This window comes from Homo sapiens, chromosome 19, assembly GCF_000001405.40.
Source record: "Homo sapiens chromosome 19, GRCh38.p14 Primary Assembly".
NCBI lineage: Eukaryota > Metazoa > Chordata > Mammalia > Primates > Hominidae > Homo > Homo sapiens.
Genome location: NC_000019.10, coordinates 19,281,681 through 19,304,187, shown reverse-complemented (window position 1 = coordinate 19,304,187; position 22,507 = coordinate 19,281,681). Strand labels below are relative to the sequence as shown.

General features: G+C 49.2%; 1 protein-coding gene across 2 annotated transcripts in view; it reads left to right on the top strand.

Moving 5' to 3' along the window:
• Nucleotides 1-22,507, top strand: part of SUGP1 (SURP and G-patch domain containing 1) — a 44,477-nt gene that overhangs the window by 16,322 nt on the left and 5,648 nt on the right. For both annotated transcript variants that reach the window (NM_172231.4, XM_047439142.1), the window contains 4 exons: nucleotides 341-464; nucleotides 740-840; nucleotides 1,800-1,923; nucleotides 6,844-7,199. In NM_172231.4, the coding sequence (NP_757386.2) occupies nucleotides 341-464; nucleotides 740-840; nucleotides 1,800-1,923; nucleotides 6,844-7,199 (705 nt within the window). The remainder of the gene's footprint in view (nucleotides 1-340; nucleotides 465-739; nucleotides 841-1,799; nucleotides 1,924-6,843; nucleotides 7,200-22,507) is intronic.

Sequence of the window (22,507 nt, the reverse complement as noted above, 5' to 3'; positions counted from 1 at the left end):
GAACCGATGTATTATGCTGAAAACTGGTAAAGAAAGAAAAGAATTAAGCATTTCCCCCACCAAAACCAGGGGAAGCTGGATATATTTTCTGCTAGCTTCCAGCCTGGAGCTCACCACAGCCTCACACACTTCTCTCCCACCTAGTGTGTCTCACCAAGACAGTGAGACCGACTCCCCCCTCGTCATGGTGTTTTGTGCCTGGACTCGGGACGCCCGACAGCCTCCTGCATCTCACACTCTTCTCCCCCCACCCCCTCTGTCGTTGTGGTCCATAGAGAGAGTGTGCCTATTGACTGTGGGGTGTGTGAGTTGAACCCCAGTACTGACAGCCTCCTTAAAGTTTCACCCCCAGAGGGAGCCGAGACTCGGAAAGTGATAGAGAAATTGGCCCGCTTTGTGGCAGAAGGAGGCCCCGAGTTAGAAAAAGTAGCTATGGAGGACTACAAGGATAACCCAGCATTTGCGTGAGTATCTCCGGGGAAGGGAAGGCTGTGCTGTTGAATGCGTTTGCTGCACAGTCGCACGTGTGGGGCTGGGTGCTTGCTAGTGTGGGCCGGATGCTGTTCCAAGCGTTTTCTGATTCTCACCAGAAGTGACAAGTGGCTCCCATGTGGCACGGAGACTTGCTTTCGGGTCCCTGCTCGCCAGCCTGCCTTTTTTTGCACGATAGAAGCTGCAGGGATATGCCTGTCACAGATACTTATTTTCCCCTCTCTTCTGCAAACTTCCTCCTCTCCAGATTTTTGCACGATAAGAATAGCAGGGAATTCCTCTACTACAGGAAGAAGGTGGCTGAGATAAGAAAGGAAGCACAGAAGTCGCAGGCAGCCTCTCAGAAAGGTAGGTGGACGGAGCGGGTGGGAGATTCTGGGGAGGCCTGTGGACATACCGTGCCCCAATGCGGAATCGGGGTTCCTGGAGGTGCTGGAGTGGCACTGTGTGGCACCGGTGGTTGAGGCCTGTATTCTCCCAGGCATCTGGGGTCACTCTGGGAATGGGTCTGACACCACCTTCCCCCTCAGTGCTCCAAGGACCTGGTGAAGCCTGAGTGTCAGGCCACATTGTGGGGTAGACGGGAGCTCATGGAGGTCGAGGTCGCTTCTGGGAGAGCGGTTCAGGGCAGTACCCTAGGTAGAGGGGGCTTTTGCTTGTTGGTTCTTTGTTACATTAACAAGTGTTGATGAGCCCCAGCTTCCTCCTGGGCACTGAGGACAGGGCAAGGCAAGTGTAGTGTAGGGCCGAGGGCCTGGGGGACAGACACTGTCAGCTGGTGCAATTCTGATGGGATGAATTTCAGGGGAAGGGGAAATACTGGCTGGTCTTTGACTGCAATGACATAAAATCCCAGCCAAGTGCTGGTGGGTTGGTGGGGTGGAATTGATGTTCAGGCCAAGCGCAGGCTGCAGAGGTTTGTTCCTTGTGTTCCCTGTGGCCCTGTGCCCTGAGCCTCTCCCCAGGAGAGGAGGCCCAACAGCACCCCCTAACCATGTGACCTGGGGTGCTCCCATCTGCCTTCCTGCCCTACCCAGACCCGCAGTCACATTTGGATCCTTTGTCCTGGCTCATGTCCCAGGCCCTCTTGACCTCCCTTGTGGGACGGGGCGGGGGTCGGGGGTGGGGGCTTGAGGTGTGTTATGAATTCTGGCATCTGGTCCCAGTGTAGTAATCTGATTCCCATTTGCCTGTTTCTCTTTGCATCATTCCTAAAACAAACCCCACTTGTTGCCCTTGGGGTTCTTAGCAGAAATTAGGCTGTTGGGTGTGGTGAGTTGAGCCCAGTACTGACAGCCTGCTTAAAGTTTCACCCCCAGAGGACGAAGAGGTCAAGAACCTTGCAGAAAAGTTGGCCAGGTTCATAGCGGACGGGGGTCCCGAGGTGGAAACCATTGCCCTCCAGAACAACCGTGAGAACCAGGCATTCAGGTAAGGGGGGCCCTGCCAGGGAGGTGACCGTCACCCTGGCCACAGTCCCCCTGCAGGGGAGGACACTGGATCAGCATAGTCCAGCCACCTGCTGGGGTCCCACTGTGAGAAGCTGGCAGGTCCAAGAGTCTCTGACCCCAGAGCCCAGCTCTGCCTCCCCACAGGCATGTCCCACGCACACACCAGCACCCCTGGGTAGTCTCTGAGGCAGGTGCACGGGGCCTTTGGGGCCTTTGTGTCTTTCAGGTGCCTCATGGAGAAAGTCTCTAGCACTTGCCCAGTTGCCTTTGGGACACACAGCAGCCCTTGGCCGGGGGCAAGTCAGGCTCTCAAGTGGAAATTCACAGTACTGTTCAGTTTATGTTGTGTACGTTCTCAGGGTCTCCCCTTTATGATGAGGGAAATGGCAGGGAATGGGGAACTTTAGGATCTGTGGAGGGGGAACACCCAGCCTGTGTGCGAGTTCCACAGAAGGGTGGGTGTGTGACAAGCAGCCTAGCCTCCCTGCCATCCCCGGCCATGCGGTCGTACCCTAGCCCCAGTGGCTGGGTCTGTGTTCACTGGCTCATCCATTCATTGGGTGGGTTTGGCACTTGCTCTGTGCCCGGGGAGGCGGGTGGGTGCCTGGGGGATGTGAGGGTGACATGCCCGTGAGCACACGCCTGGCCCCAGGTTACACAAGCCCCGACTCAATCAGTGAGGAGGTGTGACAGCACATGACAGTCCTGGGGCAGCAGCTGTCTGGGCTGGTTGATTCAGCAGCCCTAGACTTCATCACAGATGGGGCAACTGTGCTTCTGTGGTCACTGGCCAAGGTCGTGGAGGGTGGGCAGACATGGCCAGGCCAGGTCCAGGCAGACGAGGGCAGTGGGCCACCATTGGGAGGTGGGACTGAGGGAACATGGGGGCTGGGAACAGGGAGGGTCAAGGCTCAGCTGACCCAGTGAATGGGGACGGGGAGAGGGGCTGCTTGGGATTCAGGTGTGCCCCAGTCTGGTACCTGTGTGTCCAGGAGCCTGTGTTGGGGCCGTGGATTGTTTAGGCCTGGAGTTCAGGAGATGGATCTGCCTGGGACTGGAGGCCCCCCCGACAGGTGTCCTGAATGTCAGACTGGCCCTGGGGATCATTGAGTTGTTGACCACACCTCAGGGTTGGATCACTAGTCCACTCCAAGTCATCATGTCTTTCCTTCATTTGCCTGATTAAGGCTATATAAATAAGAAACCTAGTTTGCTGTCATTGTAGGTAGACACTGACTGTGGAACCCTTTCAAAGGAGAAGCAGGCAAGGATATGGAATTCTGTCCAAGGCCCAGAGCCCGGTGGCTCTGCTTGGTCAGAGGGGTCCAGGGCCCAGCCGCTGCAGCCCAGCCTCACCCCTGATGTCAGAACTGAGAGATGCTATTGGTGCAGGTGGCCCCGGCCCTCCTGTGTGTCCTTTCTGTTCTGGGGTGTTGCTGACAGGCGCCCAGCTTGTCAGGTGTGGCTGTCGGGGAGGCCAGGCTGGTTGAGGTCGCCTGGGGTGGGTACCCCGGGCAGCCAGAGGAGACGAGGCTGAAGGGAGCTCATTTCCGCACTCACTGCAGAGCCAGAGCCGGACCAGGAAAGAACTGGGTGGGTCGGGGGGACGACCAGGTATTCAAGCCCCTGCAGGGTGTGCAGGTTTGCTCCTGTGTTTAATCTCCATGCAGGGTCAGCTGTGAGGCAGCCCCAAAGCACAGAAATGCTAGTTAGACCCACATGGTTGGCAGACCTCCCCTCACCCCCAAATCTAACAGCCGCCTCATGTGGCCACTCCTGGCCCTTCCCTGTCACGCCTGTGGGCCAGGCATACCCCAGCCACTTTGGGAAACAATTTGTAACCAACTGCATGGCTATAAAGAAGCTGGAGGCCTGGTGCGGTGGCTCACGCCTGTAATCCCAGCACTTTGGGAGGCCAAGGCAAGTGGATCACCTGAGGTCAGGAGTTCGAGAACAGCCTGGCCAACATGGCGAAACCCCATCTCTACTAAAAATATAGAAATTAACTGGGCATGGTGTCATGTGCCTATAATCCCAGCTACTTGGGAGGCTAAGGCAGGAAAATCACTTGAACCCAGGAGGCAAAGGTTGCAGTGAGCCGAGATGATGCCATTGCACTTCAGCCTGGGTGACAGAGCAAGACTCCATCTCAAAAAATAAAAAATGAGGCTGGGCTTGGTGGCTCACACCTGTAATCCCAGCACTTTGGGAGGCCGAGGCAGGTGGATCACCTGAGGTCGAGAGTTCAAGAACAGCCTGACCAACGTGGAGAAACCCCGTCTCTACTAAAAATACAAAATTAGCGCATGCCTGCAATCTCAGCTACTTGGGAGGCTGAGGCAGGAGAATGGCTTGAACCCGGCAGGCGGAGGTTGCGGTGAGCCAAGATTGCACCACTGCACTCCAGCCTGGGCAACAAGAGTGAAACTCCATCTTGAAAAACAAAACAAAAAAAAAATGAAAAGCTGGAAACGCCCATCCCTTGGACTAGTCATTCTCCCATTTCTGAGATACATCCTGGAAATCATGTCAATAGAGCATCAGCTGTAATGAAAAGTCAGTAGGCCGGGTGCGGTGGCTCATGCCTGTAATCCCAGCACTTTGGGAGGCTGAGCGGGGTGGATCACGAGGTCAGGAGATCGAGACCATCCTGGCTAACACAGTGAAACCCCGTCTCTACTAAAAAATACAAAAAAAAAAAAAAATTAGCCGGGTGTGGTGGCGGGCGTCTGTAGTCCCAGCTAGTCAGGAGGCTGAAGCAGGAGAATTGCCTGAACCCGGGAGGCGGAGCTTGCAGTGAGCTGAGATTGTGCCACTGCACTCCAGCCTGGGCGACAGAGCAAGACTCCGTCTCAGAAAAAAAAAGGAAGAAAAAAAAGAAAAGTCAGTGACACAGTCAGCGTCCAACCTCTGTGGGTTAAATCATCAGCACATCTCCCCAGTGGAGTATGCCGCCTTCAGAAGGCACCCATGTGAGCTGGCAGCCCAGTGTGAGGGAACTGAAGCAAGGCCAGTCAGTGAACATGCTTCCACTGTTCTAATAGGAAAGGCTTATGTCATCAGCTTGAGGCAGAAATTTTTTTTAAAACTGGGATATGTATAGGATCACAGCTCTATTAAGATAAATCTTTGCTGAAACTGGCAGGAAACACCTTAACAGTGGTTATCCCTGGGTTCAGGGTGGGATTAGTTCCACCAGAGGGGAACCTTGGTGGTGCACCCAGCCGTGTTCTAGATGGGGTGTTGGGGGGCTCCACTTTCTCCCCCTCATGGGGGTCTACCATTGAGTGCCATTGTAACCCCCTCCCCGAGATGGGCAGACCCTCCAGGGGACTGTGATGCATCCTTGGACCATCCTGGAGGACACTCAGGGTGAAGCACCAGCTGAGACCAGGAAGGGGCCCCCACACCCCGATGCCTGCTCGCCCTAGCAAGTGAGCCTCCCCAGCTTGGCCTCTCAAATCCATGTCTGAACTCACCCGGCTGTCAAGTGTCTTTTCCAAATCTGACCAACTGTTCCCTTCTCTCCTGAACAGTTGTTGCTTTTACCTCTTAATCTTTGCATATGTTCCTCACTGGGTCACACGTGTACCATGACCCAGGATTACAGAGAAGATGCTGTCATCTCCTGTCCTTCTGTCCCACCCTCTTGAGGTACCGGATGTTAGCAGGGCCGTAGACACACAGGCTCACCTAGAAACTGTCTAAGGGGTCTCTTGCTGCTCGCTCACTATTTATCTTATTTTTTTGAGATGGAGTCTCACTCTGGTCCAGGCTGGAGTGCAGTGGCCCAGTCTTGGCTCACTGCAACCTCCGCCTCCCAGGTTCGCGTGATTGTCCTGCCTCAGCCTCCCGAGCAGTTGGGACTACAGGCGTGTACCACCACGCCCAGCTAATTTTTTTATTTTTAGTACAGACGGGATTTCACCATGTCGGCCAGGCTGGTCTCGAACTCCTGACCTCAGGTGATCTGCCCGCCTCGGCCTCCCAAAGAGCTGGGATTACAGGCGTGAGCCACCGCGCCCGGCCTCTGTAACACAAAGGGACTTCACAGCATCCTTGACCCTTTAATTCACATTAGTTGCACGCCTTGGTGCTATGACCATCCCTCCAGATTCACAAGTGCAGGTCCAGCCCCATCTTGTTCAGCACTGTAACATGCTTTCAGGGCTGTACATGCATTCAGTTCTCTCCCGTGTTCTGCCATGTGGAGCTGGGCCAAGACTCTCCCTTTTGGCATAGACCCCAAAGACAGTCCTGTGGACTGGGGATGTGTACGGTCCGAGAGGCGCCAGTAGGTGCGGAACATGGCTCTGAACCCAGCGCCACCTGCTGTGCTCCTCAGGCTGGGTAGGGACAGAGAAGACCTGTGCTCCCAGCCTCACTGGAAGCCACACTTCCCTGAGGCTGCCTGCCCCCACGTGGGGTAGAAATCAGCTCCTTGGTCCGTTCTGATGTTCATTGTCTCAAAGATGCATTTGAGAAGCCCTTGGGATCAAGACAAGTCCCTCTGCCCTGTCTCGTGTCTGGTGTCTCCCCACAATCTGAGATTTTTTGGTGTGAATGTCTCACTTTTCCCAGGCCCTGGGGAAGGGTCTGAGGGTCCCTGCCCTTTCCCTTTGTAGCAGGGTGAACAATGACAGTGTGATGGGTGCCTGATAAAGACAGGGTGAGGATTGGAGTGACTCAGTTCAAAGGAAGGGCATCGGGCCACCAGAACCAGCAGTCACTGCCAGGAGGCCTGGCAGGGCAGGAGGTCATGGTGGAGACCGTGACTATGACATGACCATATAGTGACCCTGGCCAACGTGGGCACACAAGGCCAGAACTGCTCCTGCCCAGAATCAGGGACAGGGCCTCGGGCCCAGCTGACACTGCACCCCCCAACTCTCCTTTGCAGCTTTCTGTATGAGCCCAATAGCCAAGGGTACAAGTACTACCGACAGAAGCTGGAGGAGTTCCGGAAAGCCAAGGCCAGCTCCACAGGCAGCTTCACAGCACCTGATCCCGGCCTGAAGCGCAAGTCCCCTCCTGAGGCCCTGTCAGGGTCCTTACCCCCAGCCACCACCTGCCCCGCCTCGTCCACGCCTGCGCCCACTATCATCCCTGCTCCAGCTGCCCCCGGGAAGCCAGCCTCCGCAGCCACCGTGAAGAGGAAGCGGAAGAGCCGGTGGGGGCCTGAAGAGGATAAGGTAGAGCTCCCACCTGCTGAACTGGTGCAGAGGGACGTGGATGCCTCTCCCTCGCCTCTGTCAGGTGGGCAGACCCTCTCCCCCTCCCTGTGTTGGAAGGGTCTGACTTCTTTCACTGAGCATAATGTCTTCAAGGTTCATCCACAGTGTAGCTTGTATCAGAATTTCATTCCTTCTGTGGCCATATCTTCCACTGTGTGTACATACCACATTTGGCTTACCCACTCATCTGTGAATGAACTCTTATATTCACAGAGGTTGTTTACACTGCTTGGCTGTTGTGAATAATACTGCTGTGACTATCTGAATCGTTTTCAGTTCTCTTGTCGGTATACCTAGGTGTGGAATTGCTGGGCCTATTGCAATTCTGCCTTTTTTTTCTTTTTTCTTTTTTCTTTTTTTTTTTGAGACAGAGTCTCGCTCTGTTGCCCAGGCTGGAGTGCAGTGGTGCGATTTCAGCTCACCATAAGCTCTGCCTCCTGGGTTCACACCATTCTCCTGCCTCAGCCTCCTGAGTAGCTGGGACTACAGGTGCCCGCCACCATGCCCGCCTAATTTTTTGTATTTTTTAATAGAGATGGGGTTTTACTGTGTTAGCCAGGATGGTCTCTATCTCCTGACCTCGTGATCTCCCGCTTCGGCCTCCCAAAGTGCTGGGACGTAGAGATGGGGTTTCACCATGTTGGCCAGGCTGGTTTCGAACTCCTGACCTCAGATGATCCACCCGCCTCAGCCTCCCAAAGTGCTGTGATTACAGGTATGAGCCACCACGTCTGGCCTGTAATTCTCCTTTTAACTTTGAGGAACCTGCAGGTGCACCATTTTACATTCCCACCAGCAGTGCACAAGGGTTCCACTTTTTCTGTATCCTCACCTTTTTTTAAAATAAAAAAAGTTTTATGGAGACGGGGTCTCACTATGTTGCTGAGGCTGGTCTTGAACTTCTGTCCTCAAGTGATCCTCCTGCCTCGGCCTCCCAAAGTGCCGGGATTATAGGCAAGAGTCATACTCTCATCTTTTTATTATAACCATCCTAAGAGGTATGAAGTGATATCTCGTCGTCTGGGTTGGCATTTCCCTAATGACCAGTGCTGTTGAGCTTATTTTCATATGCTTATTGACCATGTGTATAGCTTCTTTGGAGAAATGTCTATTTTAGTCCTTTTTTCCCCACGTTTTATGTTTTTGACATGAGGTCTCTGTCACCCATGTTCGAGTACACTGGCACAATCATAGCTCACTGAAACCTCTACCACCCTGGCTTAAGGAATCCTCCTACCTCAGCCTCCTGAGTAGCTGAGACCACAGACTTGCCCCACCATGCCCAGTTTTTGTTTGTTTTGAGACAGAGTTTCGCTCTGTTGCCCAGGCTGCAGTGCAAGTGGCACGATCTCAGCTCACTGCAACCTCTGCCGTCGGGTTCTTTTTTTTTTTTTTTTTTTTTTTTGAGAAGGAGTCTCACTGTGTTGCCCAGGCTGGAGTACAGTGTGGCACAGTCTCAGCTCACTGCAACCTCTGCCTCCGAGGTTCAAGTGATTCTCCTGCCTCAGCCTCCCAAGTAGCTGGGACTACAGGCGTGTGCCACCACGCCTGGCAAAATTTTTGTATTTTTAGTAGAGAGGGGGTTTCACCATGTTAGCCAGGATGATCTCGATCTCCTGACCTCATGATCCGCCTGCCTTAGCCTCCCAAAGTGCTGGGATTATAGGCGTGAACCACCGCTCCCGGCCCACCTCCCAGGTTCAAGCGAATTCTCCTGCCTTAGCCTCCTGAGTATCTGGGACTACAGGCACACACCACCATGCTCAGCTAATTTTTTTTTTTTTTGTAGTAGAGACAGGATTTCACCATGTTGACCAGGCTGGTGTTGAACTCCTGACCTCAAGTGAGCCACCAGGCCCAGCCTTGCCCAGTTATTATATAAACAAGGTCTCAGTATGTTACCCAGGCTGATCTCGAACTCCTGGGCTCAAGCCATCTTCTTGCCTCAGCCTCTCAGAGTCCTGGGTTTACAGGCCACTGCACCCAGCCACCTTTTCCCATTTTAAAGTTGGTTTGTTTGTGTTGTTGAGTTGTACGAGTTCTCTTTTATAGATTCTGGATATTAACCCCCTCGTCAGCTATGTGATTTGCAAATACTTTCTCTCATTCTATGGGTTGTCTTTTCACTTTAGTAATAGCGTCTTTTGATGCATACAACTTTTAAATTTTCTTTCTTTTTTTAATGTGGCCAGAAAGTATCAGTTTTTTTTTTTTGAACTGAAGGCAGACCCTCCAGGGGATGGTAGTGCCAGGGAGGGGGCAGGTAGTTGTGCGGTCTCCCAGTGCCTGCTGTAATCCAGCCCTCCCTAGAAATGGAATTTTAATGAAGTCAAATGTATCTATTTTTTCTTCTGTGGTTTATGCTTTTGGTGTCATTTTTAAGGAACAATTGCCAAATCCGGGCATGAAAATTTACCCCTGTGTTTCCTACCGAGAGTTTTGTACCTTTAGTTCTTAAATTTAGGTCTTTAGCCTATTTTGGGTTTTTTTTTTTTTTTTTGAGTCTCACTCTGTCACCCAGGCTGGAGTGCAGTGGCTACTCACTGCAGCCTCGACCTCCCCAAGCTCAAGTGGTCTTCCCACCTCAGCCTCCCAAGTAGGTGGGACTACAAGTGCATGCCAGCACACCTGGCTAACTTTTGTACTTTTTGTAGAGATGGAGTTTCACCATGTTGCTCAGGCTGGTCTTGAATTCGTGAGTTCAAGCAATCCTCCTGCCTTGGCCTCCCAAAGTGTTGGAATTATAGGCATGAGCCATTGCACCCAGGGTTTTTGGTCCATTTTGAGTTAATTTTTCCAACTTTATTCTTTTTTTTTTTCTTTTGAGACAGGGTCTCACTCTGTCACGCAGGCTGGAGTGCCGTGGCATGATGACAGCTTACTGCAGCCTTGACCTCCCGGGCTCAATTGATTCTCCTGCCCCAGTCTCCCAAGTAGCTGGGACTACAGACATGCTCTTCCATGCCTGGCTAATCTTTGCATTTTTTGTGTCGATATGAGGTCCCACTATGTTGCCCAGGCTGGTCTCAAACTGCTGGCCTCAAACAATCTTGCCACCTTGGCCTCCCAAAGTGCTGGGATTACAGGCATGAGCTACTGCACCCGGTCTGTTTGTGGATTCTTCAGGGTTTTCCACATTTAAGTTTGTGTTATCTGCAAACAGAAATAGTTTTACAGGTTCTTTTCCAACTTGGATACTTCTTATTTCTTTTTCTGCCTAATTCCTCTGGCTAGGACTTCTAGTACCGTATTGAATGGAAATGGTGGAAGTGTGCATCCTTGTCTTGTTGCTGATCTTAGGAGGAAAGCTTTCAGCCTTTTACCAGTCTGTGAAATGTATGATGTGTGGGTGTATGATGTTAGCTATGTGTTTTTTATATATGGGCTTTATTGTGTTGAGGAACTTCACTTCTTCTTGTTCTTTTTTTTTTTGAGACAGAGTCTTTCTCTGATGTGCAGGCTGGAGTGGTGTGATCTCAGCTCACTGCAACCTCTGCCTCCCGGGTTCAAGCAATTCTCCTGCCTCAGCCTCCCTAGTACCTGGGACTACAGGTGCCCACCACCACGACTGGCCAATTTTTGTGTTTTTGGTAGAGACAGGGTTTCACCATGTTGGCCAGGCTGGTCTCGAACTCCTGACCTCGGGTGATCCGCCTGCCTTGGCCTCCCAAAGTGCTGGGATTACAGGCGTGAGCCACCAGGCCTGTCTGGAAGTTCACTTCTGTTCCTAGTTTATTGAGCGTTTTTATCATGAAAATGTTTTAGTTTTTGTCAGATGCTTTTTCTGCATCAGTTAAAACAGGCCAGGCACGGTGACTCACGCCTGTAATCCCAGCACTTTGGGAGACTGAGGTGGGCAGATTACTTGAGGCCGGGAATTCAAGACCAGCCTGGCCAACATGGTGAAACCCCGTCTCTACCAAAAAAAATTCAAAAATTAGCTGGGTGTGGTGGCACACGCCTGTAATCCCAGCTACTTGGGAGGCTGAAGCAGGAGAATCTCTTGAACCTGGGAGGCAGAGGTTGCAGTGAGCCGAGATTGAGCAACTGCACTCCAGCCTGGGCAACAGAGTGAGACTGAGTCTCAAAAAAAAAAAGTAAATAAATACATAAAATCATCGTGTGGTTACTTTCCTTCATTCTATTAATTTGGTGTATTACATGGATTGATTTTCAAATGTTGAGCCATCCTTGCATTGCGGGGATAAATCCCACTTGGTCATGGTGTATAATCCTTTCATAAGCTGCTGAATTTGGTTTCCTAGTATTTTATTGAGGATTTCTCCATCTGTATTCATAGGAATATTCAATTGTATTTTTCTTTCTTTCTTTTTCTTTTTTTTTGAAATGGAGTTTTGCTCTTTGTTGCCCAGGCTGGAGTGCAGTAGCGCGATCTCAGCTTACTGCAATCTCCACCTCCTGGGTTCAAGCAATTCTTCCACCACCACACCCGGCTAATTTTTGTATTTTTAGTAGAGACAGGGTTTCACCATGTTGGCCAGGCTGGTCTTGAACTCCTGGCCTCAAGTGATCTGCCCATGTTGGCCTCCTAAAGTTCTGGGATTACAGGCGTGAGCCACCACACCTGGCCTATTTTTCTTTCTTTGTAGTATCTTTGTCTGCCTTGGGTATCAGGCTAATCCTAGCCCCATAGAGTAAGTTTAGAAATGTTCTCTCTTTTGTGTTTTTGGAAGAGTTTGAGGAGAATTGGTATTCTTTCTTTTTTTTTTTTTTTTTTGAGACGGAGTCTCACTCTGTCACCCTGGCTGGAGTGCAGTCGTGCAATCTCGGCTCCCTGCAACCTCCACCTCCCAGGTTCAAGCAATTCTCCTACGTCAGCCTCCCGAGTAGCTGGGATTACAGGCACCTGCCACCATACCTGGCTAATTTTTGTATTATTAGTAGAGATGGGGTTTTGCCATGTTGGCCAGGCTGGTCTTGAATGCTTGACCTCAAGTGATCTGCCCACCTCAGCCTCCCAAAGCACTGGGATTACAGGCATGAATCACTGCACGCGGCTTATTTCTTCTTTTAAATGTTTGCTTTACCAGTGAAGCTATCTAATTCTTGGCCCTTTTGTGTGTGTGTGTGTGTGTGTGTGTGTGTGTGTGTGTGTGTGTGACAGAGTCTCACTCTGTCACCCAGGCTGGAGTGCAGTGGCGTGATCTCGGCTCACTGCAAGCTCCGCCTCCCAGGTTCACGCCATTCTTCTGCCTCAGCCTCCTGAGTAGCTAGGACTACAGGCGCCGCCACCAAGCCTGGCTAATTTTTTGTATTTTTTTTTTAGTAGAGACGGGGTTTCACTGTGTTAGCCAGGATGGTCTTGAACTCCTGACCTCGTGATCCACCCGCTTCGGCCTCCCAAATTGCTGGGATTACAGGTGTGAGCCACCGTGCCCAGCCTCTTGGCCTTTTTTTGTTGGAAGGTTTTTTCGAATCCTGATTTACTTGTCTATTCAGATTTTCTATTTCTTCTTGTGTTTTGATGGTTTGTGTTTCTAGGAATTTGTTCACTTCATCTATCTAATTTGTTGGGGCACAGTTTATTGTATTTTCTTATGGTCCTTTTAACTTATGTCTTATTTTCAGTCGTTAGTTACAGCCCCTCCTTCATTTCTGATTTTAGTAATTGAGTCTTCTCTCATTTTTTTCTTAGTTTAACTAAAAGGTTTGTCACTTTTGTTGATCTTTTCAAAGAACCAACTTGTGGTTTCATAGATTTTTCTCCATTGTATTTATAGTCCTCATTTTCTTATCTCCACTCTAAACTTTACTATTTTCTTCTGTTAGCTTTGGATTTAGTTTGATCTTCTTTTTCTAGCTCACTAAGGTGTACGCTTAGGTTATTGGTTTTAGATCTTCTTTCTTTCTTATTTTTTTGTTTGTTTGTTTTTGAGATGGAGTCTCACTCTGTCACCCAGGCTGGAGTGCAGTGGCATGATCTTGTCTCACTGCAACCTCTACCTCCCGGGTTCAAGCAATTCTCCTGCCCCAGCCTCCCGAGTAGCTGGGATTACAGGTGGGCGCCCCCACGCCCAGCTAATTTTTGTATTTTTAGTAGAGACGGGGTTTCACCATGTTGGCCAGGCTGGTCTCGAGCTCCTGACCTTGTGATCCGCCCACCTCAGCCTCCCAAAGTGCTGGGATTACTGGCGTGAGCCACCACACCCAGCCTCTTTCTTTTAAAAATAAATAAATAAATAAATGATTGTTATATATATTAACTGATAGATTAGCTTTGTCAGTAATCTATAATAAACTTCTCTTCAAACCCTACTTTCAGAAATACAGTTTTCCTTAAAAATAAAAATAACAAAACTGTGTATATATAGCAAAGAGTTTTTTTTGTTTTTTGTTTTTTCCCTTTGAGACAGAGTCTTGCTCTTTTATCCGGGCTGGAGTGCAGTGGCACAATCTTGGCTTACTGCAACCTCTGCCTACCAGGTTCAAGTGATTCTCCTGCCTCAGCCTCCCGAGTAGCTGGGATTATAGGTGCCCACCACCATGCCCGGCTAATTTTTATATTTTTAGTAGAGACGGGGTTTTGCCACGTTGGCCAGGCTGGTCTCGCACTCCTGGCCTCAGATGATCCACTTGCTTCCGCCTCCCAAGTGCTGGGATTACAGGTGTGAGCCACCGTGCCTGACTTAGCAAGAATGTTTGTACATTGATTATCTAAACATTAAAAATAATAACACAAGCACACTCAGTTCTCCTTGTATAGATTTATGTACCATAACCAGTTTCTGCTCCTTCCCTCTCTCCTTGCCCGCAAGAACTTTCAGCCTTCCTCCATCACTTGGGAGCCACAGGAAACTGAAGGGTAATTTCCTAGGGGTCTCCAACTAGTCTCAGTGTGCCACCATCTCTTCCATTCTTCTTGTGTGATGGCGGGTCACATCTGCCAGTCTACCACCTTCTTAAAATTCTAGAAGAGAAGCAGAGCAGAAGTTCATGTTGCTCTTAGATCTCCAGACATAAATTTCCTATCACCCACACCCACCGAGATTAGGGGTTGGGGGCCGAGTACATGGCCCTTATATTCTTCCTAACTCCCTCTTAGTTCCTTGTATTCTTGACTTGAGGGATTTTTTCAGATGAAGAGTCACATAGGGCGACGTATGGGGGAAGGGGCGTGGAGCTTCCATGCCCTCCCTGGGCACGCCACCCTCCAGGAACCTCCATGAGTTCTGCTGTCCGGAACCTCTTTCTTCATTCATTCTTTTTTGTTTTTGTTATTGTTTTTTGTTTTTTGTTTTTTTTGAGGCAGAGTCTCCCTCTGTCGCCCAGGCTGGAGTGCTGTGGCACTATCTCGGCTCATTGCAACCTCTACCTCCCAGGTTCAAGCGATCCTCCTGCCTCAGTCTCCCGAGTAGCTGGGACTACAGGCGCCTGCAACCACACCCTGCTAATTTTTTTGGTTTTAGTAGAGACGAGGTTTCACCAAGTTGGCCAGACTGATCTTGAACTCCTGACCTCAGATGATCCACCTGCCTCAGCCTCCCAAAGTGCTAGGATTACAGGCGTGAGCCACCATGCCCAGCCCACGCCCAGCTAATTTTTGTATTTTTAGTAGAAATGGGATTTCACCATGCAGGCTAGGCTGGTCTCAAACTCCTGACCTCAAGTAATCTCCCCGCCTCGGCCTCCCAAAGTGCTGGGATTACAGGTGTGAGCCACCATGCCCGGCCCTGTATGACACCATTTTGGTCAGTGATGGACTGCATATATGACAGTGGTCATTATTAAAATTGTTATAAGATTATAGTACAGTATTTTTACTGTACCTTTTTTATGTTTAGATACATAAATACTTACTGTGTTACTTTACAGGTTTGTAGCCTGGGAGCAACGGGGTATACAGCTGTCCCTTGAACAACATGGGGGTTGGGACACCAAGCCCTGTGCAGTTGAAAATCTGAATATAGGCCGGGTTTGGTGGCTCACACCTGTAATCCCAGCACTTTGGAAGGCTGAGGTGGACAGATCACAAGGTCAGGAGTCCGAGACCAGCCTGACCAACATGGTGAAACTCTGTCTCTACTAAAAATACAAAAATTAGCCGGGCATGGTGGCACATGCCTGTAATCCCAGCTACTCAGGAGGCTGAGGCAGGAGAATCGCTTGAACTCGGGAGGTGGAGGTTGCAGTGAGCTGAGATCGCGCCACTGCACTCCAGCCCAGGTAACAGAGCAAGACTCCGTCTCACAAAAAAAGAAAAAAAAAGAGAAAATCTGAATATAAACTTTTTTTTTGAGGCAGGGTCTCACTCTGTTTCCCAGGCTGGAGTGCAGTGGTATAATCACAGCTCACTGCAGCCTCAACCTCTTGAGCTCAAGCTATCCTTCCACCTTAGGCTCCCAAGTAGCTTGGGACTATAGCCCTGTACCAGCACGCCTGGCTAATTCTTTAATTTTTTGTAGAGACAGGGTTTCACCACATTGCCCAGGCTGGTTTCAAAACTGAGCTCAAGTGGTCTGCCCACCTCAGCCTCTACATGTAACTTTTGACTCCCCAAAAACTTAACTACTAATAGCCTACTGTTGACCGGAAGCCTTATTGGTAACATAAACAGTTGATTAACATGCTTTTTATATGTTATATGTATTATGTACTATATTCTTATAATAAAATAAGCTAGAAGAAAGAAAATATTACTAAGAAAATCATAGGAAAAATTAGCCAGGCTGTGTGGTGTGCATCTATAGCTCTAGCTACTCAAGAGGCTGAGAGGCAGGAGGAACACGAGTCCAGGAATTTGAGGCTGCAGTGAGCTATGATCGTGGCACTGCACTCCAGCCTAGATGACAGAGGGTCCAAACAGAGCAACCAGACAGACCCTGCCTCTTTATTTTTGAGACAGTTTCACTCTATTGCCCAGGCTGTAGTGCAATGGCATGATCTCGGCTCACTGTAACCTCTGCCTCCCGAGACCCTGCCTCTTTTAAAAAAAAAGAAGGGAGGAAGAGAAAATATATTGACTATTTATGAAGCGGACATGGATCATCACAAAGGTCATCTTCATCAGTGTCGTGTTGAACAGCTAAGGAGGAAGAAGAGTAGGGGTTGGTCTTGCTGCCGAAGAGGTGGAAGGAGAGACAGGCACTCTGTAACTTTATGGGAATATCTCACAATTTCTGCCTGACTTCTTTTTCATTTCCCTAAAAATGTTTATATACAGTATTATTCCTTCTTCTACCATTTACACTTAGTTCCAGTGCCCATGTCTCGGGTCCATGTCATAAAAGAAGTCAGAAACAGTCTCGAATAATGAGAATCCTCCTACCAGATTGTCATTTTCTTTTCTGGTGCTGCTGCCGCTTCTCCGGCTTCTTCCTCATCATCTGGCACTCATTTGGAAGCACTCCTTTCCATCCAGCTGTCTTCTGTTAATTTCTCCAGTGTGGTATCTGTTAGCTCTTCTATTTTTAATTAATTAATTATTTTTCGATTTGGAGTGTTTGTGTGTTGCCCAGGCTAGAGTCCAGCGGCACAATCTCAGCTCACTGCAGCCTCTGCCCCTCTGGTTCAAACGATTCTCATGCCTCAGCCTCCCGAGTAGCTGGGATTACAGGCATGCACCACCATGCCCGGCTAATTTTTTGTATTTTTTGTAGAGATAGGGTTTCACCATGTTGCCCACGCTGATCTCAAACTCCTGACTTCAAGTGATCCGCCCACCTCAGCTTCCCAATATGCTGGGATTACAGGTGTGAGCCACCTCGCCTCACCTATGTTTTGAGACACGGTATCACTCTGTCACCCAGGCTGGAGTGAATTGGCACGATCTCGGCTCACTGCAGCCTCTGCGCTCTGGGGTCAAGGGATCCTCCCGTCTCAGTCTTCCGAGCAGCTTGGATTACAAGTGTGTGCCCATGCCTAGCTAATTTTTGTATTTGGTAGAGACAGGGTTTCACCATGTTGCTCAGGCTGGTCTCTTACTCCTGACCTCAAATGATCCATCTGCCTCAGCCTTCCAAAGTACTGGGATTACAGGCGTGAGCCACTTTGCCCGGCCTATTTTGTTGTTGTTGTTGTTGTTGTTGTTGTTTTGCTTTTTTTTTTGGAGACAGAGTCTCGCACTGTCACCCAGGCATGTGCCACCACGGCCAGCTAGTTTTGTATTTTTAGTAGACATGTGGTTTCGCCATGTTAGCCAGGCTGCTCTCGAACTCTTGACCTCAGGTGATCCACCTGCCTCGGGCTTCCGAAGTGCTGGGATTGTAGGCATGACCCGCTGCGCCTGGCCAGACCTATTTTTTTAAATTTTTATTTAATTTTTATTTTTTTATAGAGACAAGAGATTTGTTATGTTGCCCGGGCTGGACTCAAACTCCTGGTCTCAAGTGATCTCCCCGCCTCAGCCTCCCAAGCAGTTGGGACCACAGACATGAGCCACCCATGTCCAGCTTTTTAGTTCTTAAATTTCTCCAAGATCTATCTTTTGAAATCCCTTACCCTCTACCCGTTTTTGCTGTCTCTACAATCTCTTTCACGATTTCCTTCATGGACTCTGTTATAAATCCCATGAAGTCATGCACATCTGAAGACAGTTTTCTCTAGCAGGAATTTATTGTTTCAGGCTTGATGGCCTTTCCTGTAGTGTAACCCTTCCAGACTTTCATAATGTTCGCTCTGCTGAGGTTCTCTTCCGTAGCTTTGATAATCCTCTCCATAGAGTACGTGTGTTATGAGCCTTGAGGGTTTTTACGACCCCCCAATCTAGAGGCTGAAGTAGAGACCTTGTTTGGATGCAGTAGACCACTTTGATGCCTTCAGTGTTAAACTCATGAAGTTCTGGGTGGCCAGGGGCATTGTCCAATATCAAAAGAACTTTAACAAGCAGTCACTAGCAAGGTACTTCCTGATTTCAGGAGCAAACCAATCTAGAAAAAGAATTTTTGTTGTCCAGGCATTTTTACCTCCTGCCTTGGCCTCTCAAAGTGTTAGGATTACAGGCGTGAGCCACCATGGCTGTCCTGCCCTGGCCTTCTTGTTGTATAACCAGAAGACGGGCAGCTGGTGTTTATCTTTTCCCTTTAAGACTCAGGGGTTAGCAGCTTCATAGATAAGGGCAGCCCCGATCATAAACCCAACTGCATTTGCACAAAACAGTAGCGTTATCCTGCCTTAAGTTCTGGTGCTTGGCCGGGTACGGTAGCTCATGCCTGTAATCCCAGTGCTTTGGGAGGCCGAGGTGGGCGGATCGCTTGAGGCCTGAATTGAGACCAGCCTGGGCAACATGAGAAAACCCTGTCTCTACAAAAAACCACAAAAATTAGCCGGGTGTGGTGGTGTTCACTTGTAGTCCCAGCTACTTGGAAGGCTGAGGTGAGAGGTTCACTTGAGCCTGGGAGATTGAGGCTGCAGTGAGCCATGTTCACGCCATTGCACTCCAGCCTGGACAAAAAAGTGAGAACCTGTGTCCAAGCAAACAGAAATAAATAAATGAATTCTGGTGTTTGCTCCTCTTCCTTACTAATGTCTTTTTTGGCTCCCCCACCCCAATAGGGCACTTATGTCTGCATTAAAAAACCTATTTGAGGCCGGGTACAGTGGCTCATGCCTGTGATCCTAGCACTTTGGGAGGCCAGTGTGGGTGGATCACTTGAGGTCAGGAGTTTGAAACCAGCCTGGCCAACATGGTGAAACCCCATCTCTACTAAAAATACAAAAAATTAGCTGTGTGTAGTGGCAGGCTCCTGTAATCCCAGATACTTGGGAGGCTGAGGCAGGAGAATCGCTTGAACCCAGGAGGCGGAGGTTGCAGTGAGCCACGATTGCTCCACTGCACTCCATCCTGGGTGACAGAGCAAGACTCCATTTCAAAATAAACCTGTTTGAGGCTGGGCACGGTAGCTCACGCCTGTAATCCCAGCACTTTGGGAGGCCGAGGCGGGCGGATCACGAGGTCAGGAGATCGAGACCATCCTGGCTAACACGGTGAAACCCCGTCTCTACTAAAAATACAAAAAATTAGCCAGGCACGGTGGCGGGCGCCTGTAGTCCCAGCTACTCGGGAGGCTGAGGCAGGAGAATGGCATGAACCCGGGAGGCAGCAGTGAGCCGAGATCACACCACTGCAGTCCGGCCTGGGCGAAAGAGCGAGACTCCATCTAAAAAAAAAAAAAAAAACAAACCTGTTTGAGCACATGCATATCTTTCCTTCTCAATGATTTTCTTAATGGCATCTGGGAACTCATCTGCCACCTCTAGGTGGGCAGAAGCTGTTGTTCCTGTTATCCTGACATCTTCTTAAAGCCAAACCTCTTTCTAAACCTGTCAAACCATCCTTTGCTGCCATTATATTCTCCAGCTTTCGCTCCTTCGCCTTGCTTTTGTTCTAAATTGTCATATAGTGACTTTGCTTTTTTCTTAAATCATATTAAACCTTGTAGGTGTGTCATTCTGATAGCAGTCCTATACACATAAAAACTGCATTTTCAAAGTGAGATAAAAAGTTACTTCACAGAAAGTGCAAGGTTTTCACACCTGTTGACATAGCTGCAATAACAGCTTCGTGAATTTCTCTTCTTCTTTTTTTTTTTTTAACAGTGGTCCTTATGCTGGATTCATTTATCTTGAAATAGTGGGCAACTGCAGTTGCAGACCTCAATCTATGGCACATATCAAACAATTCAGCTTTTTCTTGTAATGTCTTGACTTTTCTCTGCTTCTTGGGAGCACTTCCGCCATCACTAGTGGCACTTTTTTTTGAGATGGAGTCTTGCTCTGTTGCCCAGGTTGGAGTGCAATGGCACACTCTAGGCTGACTGCAACCTCCATTTCTGGGGTTCAAGCGATTCTCCTGCCTCAGCCTCCCGAGTAGCTGGGACTACAGTCACTTGACTAGTGGCAATTTTTATGGGACCCATGATGTTATTCAAGGTTTACTATATTGCACTAAACCTGAAAAATACTTGAGAACCCTGAGAGATGTCTCTTTACCGCAATATGCAATTTGCTAAAGGGACAAACAGCTTGTGCAGAGATGATCAGTGTCATGTGGTGTTTTAAGCAGATATTCTCAACACTTGAGCTCATTACAATAGCAACAGGAGGCTACAAAATGATTACAGTAGTACCGTGTGCACTACAGCTAATGTTATGCAGTTAAGATTTAATCTGCTAGGTGCAGTGGCTCACGCCTGTAATCCCAGCACTTTGGGAGGCCAAGGCGGGCAGATCACAAGGTTGGAGTTCGAGACCAGCCTGGCCAATATGGTGAAACCCTGTCTCTACTAAAAATACAAAATTGGCCGGACGTGGTGGCTCACGCCTGTAATCCCAACACTTTGGGAGGCCGAGGCGGGCGGATCAATGAAGTCAGGAGTTTGAGACCAGCCTGGCCAGTATGCTGAAACCTGTCTCTACTAAAAATACAAAAATTAGCTGGGTGTGGTGGCGTGCCACCTGTAGTCCCGGCTACTCGGGAGGCTGAGGCAGGAGAATCTCTTGAACCCAGGAGGCGGAGGTTGCAGTGAGCCGAAGTCGTACCACTGCATTCCAGCCTGGATGACAGAGTGAGACTCTGTCTCAAAAACAGAAAAAAAAGAAGGAAAAAAAAAAACTAGCTGGGCATGGTGGCAGGTGCCTGTAGTCCCAACTACTCGGGAGGCTGAGGCAGGAGAATTTGTTTGAACCCGGGAGGTGGAGGCGGAGGTTGCAGTGAGCCGAGATTGCACCATTACACTCCAGCGTGGGTGACAGAGCAAGACTCCATATCCAAAAAAAAAGATTTCATCTACCATCTTTACATTTGTTTACATTTCTCTTGACTGCAAAACACATTATGTACAGTCTGTGTGCATAAGTTTTGATAAAGTTTAACTTTCTGCAATGTGTATATGTTTTATGGTAGTAAGTGATAAAACAGACTAGCATCTACATATATCTTATACATTCATTGACACTCCTAACTTTTTTTTTTTTTTGAGATGGAGTCTCACTCTGTCGCCCAGGCTGGAGTGTAGTAGCACGATCTTGGCTCACTGCAATCTCCACCTCCCGGGTTCACACCATTCTCCTACTTCAGCCTCCCAAGTAGCTGGGACGACAGGCGCCTGCCACCACGCCTGGCTAATTTTTTGTATTTTTAGTAGAGACGGGGTTTCACCGTGTTAGCCAGGATGGTCTCGATCTTCTGACCTTGTGATCCGCCCACCTTGGCCTCCCAAAGTTCTGGGATTACAGGCGTGAGCCGCCGTGCCTGGCCACACCTAACTTTTTCTTGATTTTTTTTTCAGTATTTCTAGGCTACGTGGTTCATCTGACTTTTTTCGAATTGTTGCAAATCTCCAAAAATTTTTTCAATATATTCATTGAAAGAAATCAGCATATTAAGTGGACCTGTATAGTTCATACCCATGTAGTTCAAGGTCAACTGTAATATCTAGTGTAGGTGTGCAGTAGGCGGTAGCATCTAGGTTTGTGGAGGTACAGTCTGTGATGCTCACACATTGGTAACGGCGCCTAATGATGCATTTCCAGAATGGTCCCCTCCATGAAGTGATTCCTGACTGTATTTGTGTCTTTGGGTCTGAATTGAGTCTCTTTTTTTTTTTTTTTAACATAAATAGAGATGGGGTCTTACTATGTTGCCTAGGCTAGTCTCAAACTCCTGGGCTCAAGCTATCCTCCCACCTCAGTCTCCCAAAGTGCTGGGATTACAGGCATGAGCCACCACTCCCGGCCAGTACTTGGATTCTTTCTTGTCACAGAAAGTTCAGGAGGCTGGGTGTGGTGGCTCACGCCTGTAATCCCAGCACTTTGGGAGGCCAAGGTGGGCAGATCGCCTGAGGTCAGGAGTTCAAGACCAGCCTGACTAATATGGTGAAACTCCGTCTCTACTAAAAATACAAAAATTAGCTGGATGTGGTGCCACGTGCCTGTAGTCCCAGCTACTTGGGAGGCTGAGGCAGGAGAATTGCTTGATCCTGGGAGGCGGAGGTTGCAGTGAGCCAAGATCGCACCACTGCACTCCAGCCTGAGCGACAGAGCAAGACTCCATCTCGGGAAAAATGAAAGAAAGTTCAAGAGACAGACAACGATAAGCACAATAATTACCACAGTTTTACACAATCACCTTTTCACCTCTCCCTTCTTAGCAGCAATTTCGGGGAGGGCCAGCCTATGGCCTGGTCTCTCATTTTCTTACCAAACCTACAAGGGTTGGGGGGTGGTCTCTTGTCATTGCATTCTGCAGATGATAATCAGTGACTGACACCCACTATCTCATGTCATATGGTGCCCCACTATGCAGCTATGCAGCCTGCACTGTGGAGCAGAAACATCACCCCCTCACTCCACCTTCACTGGCGCTCAACACAC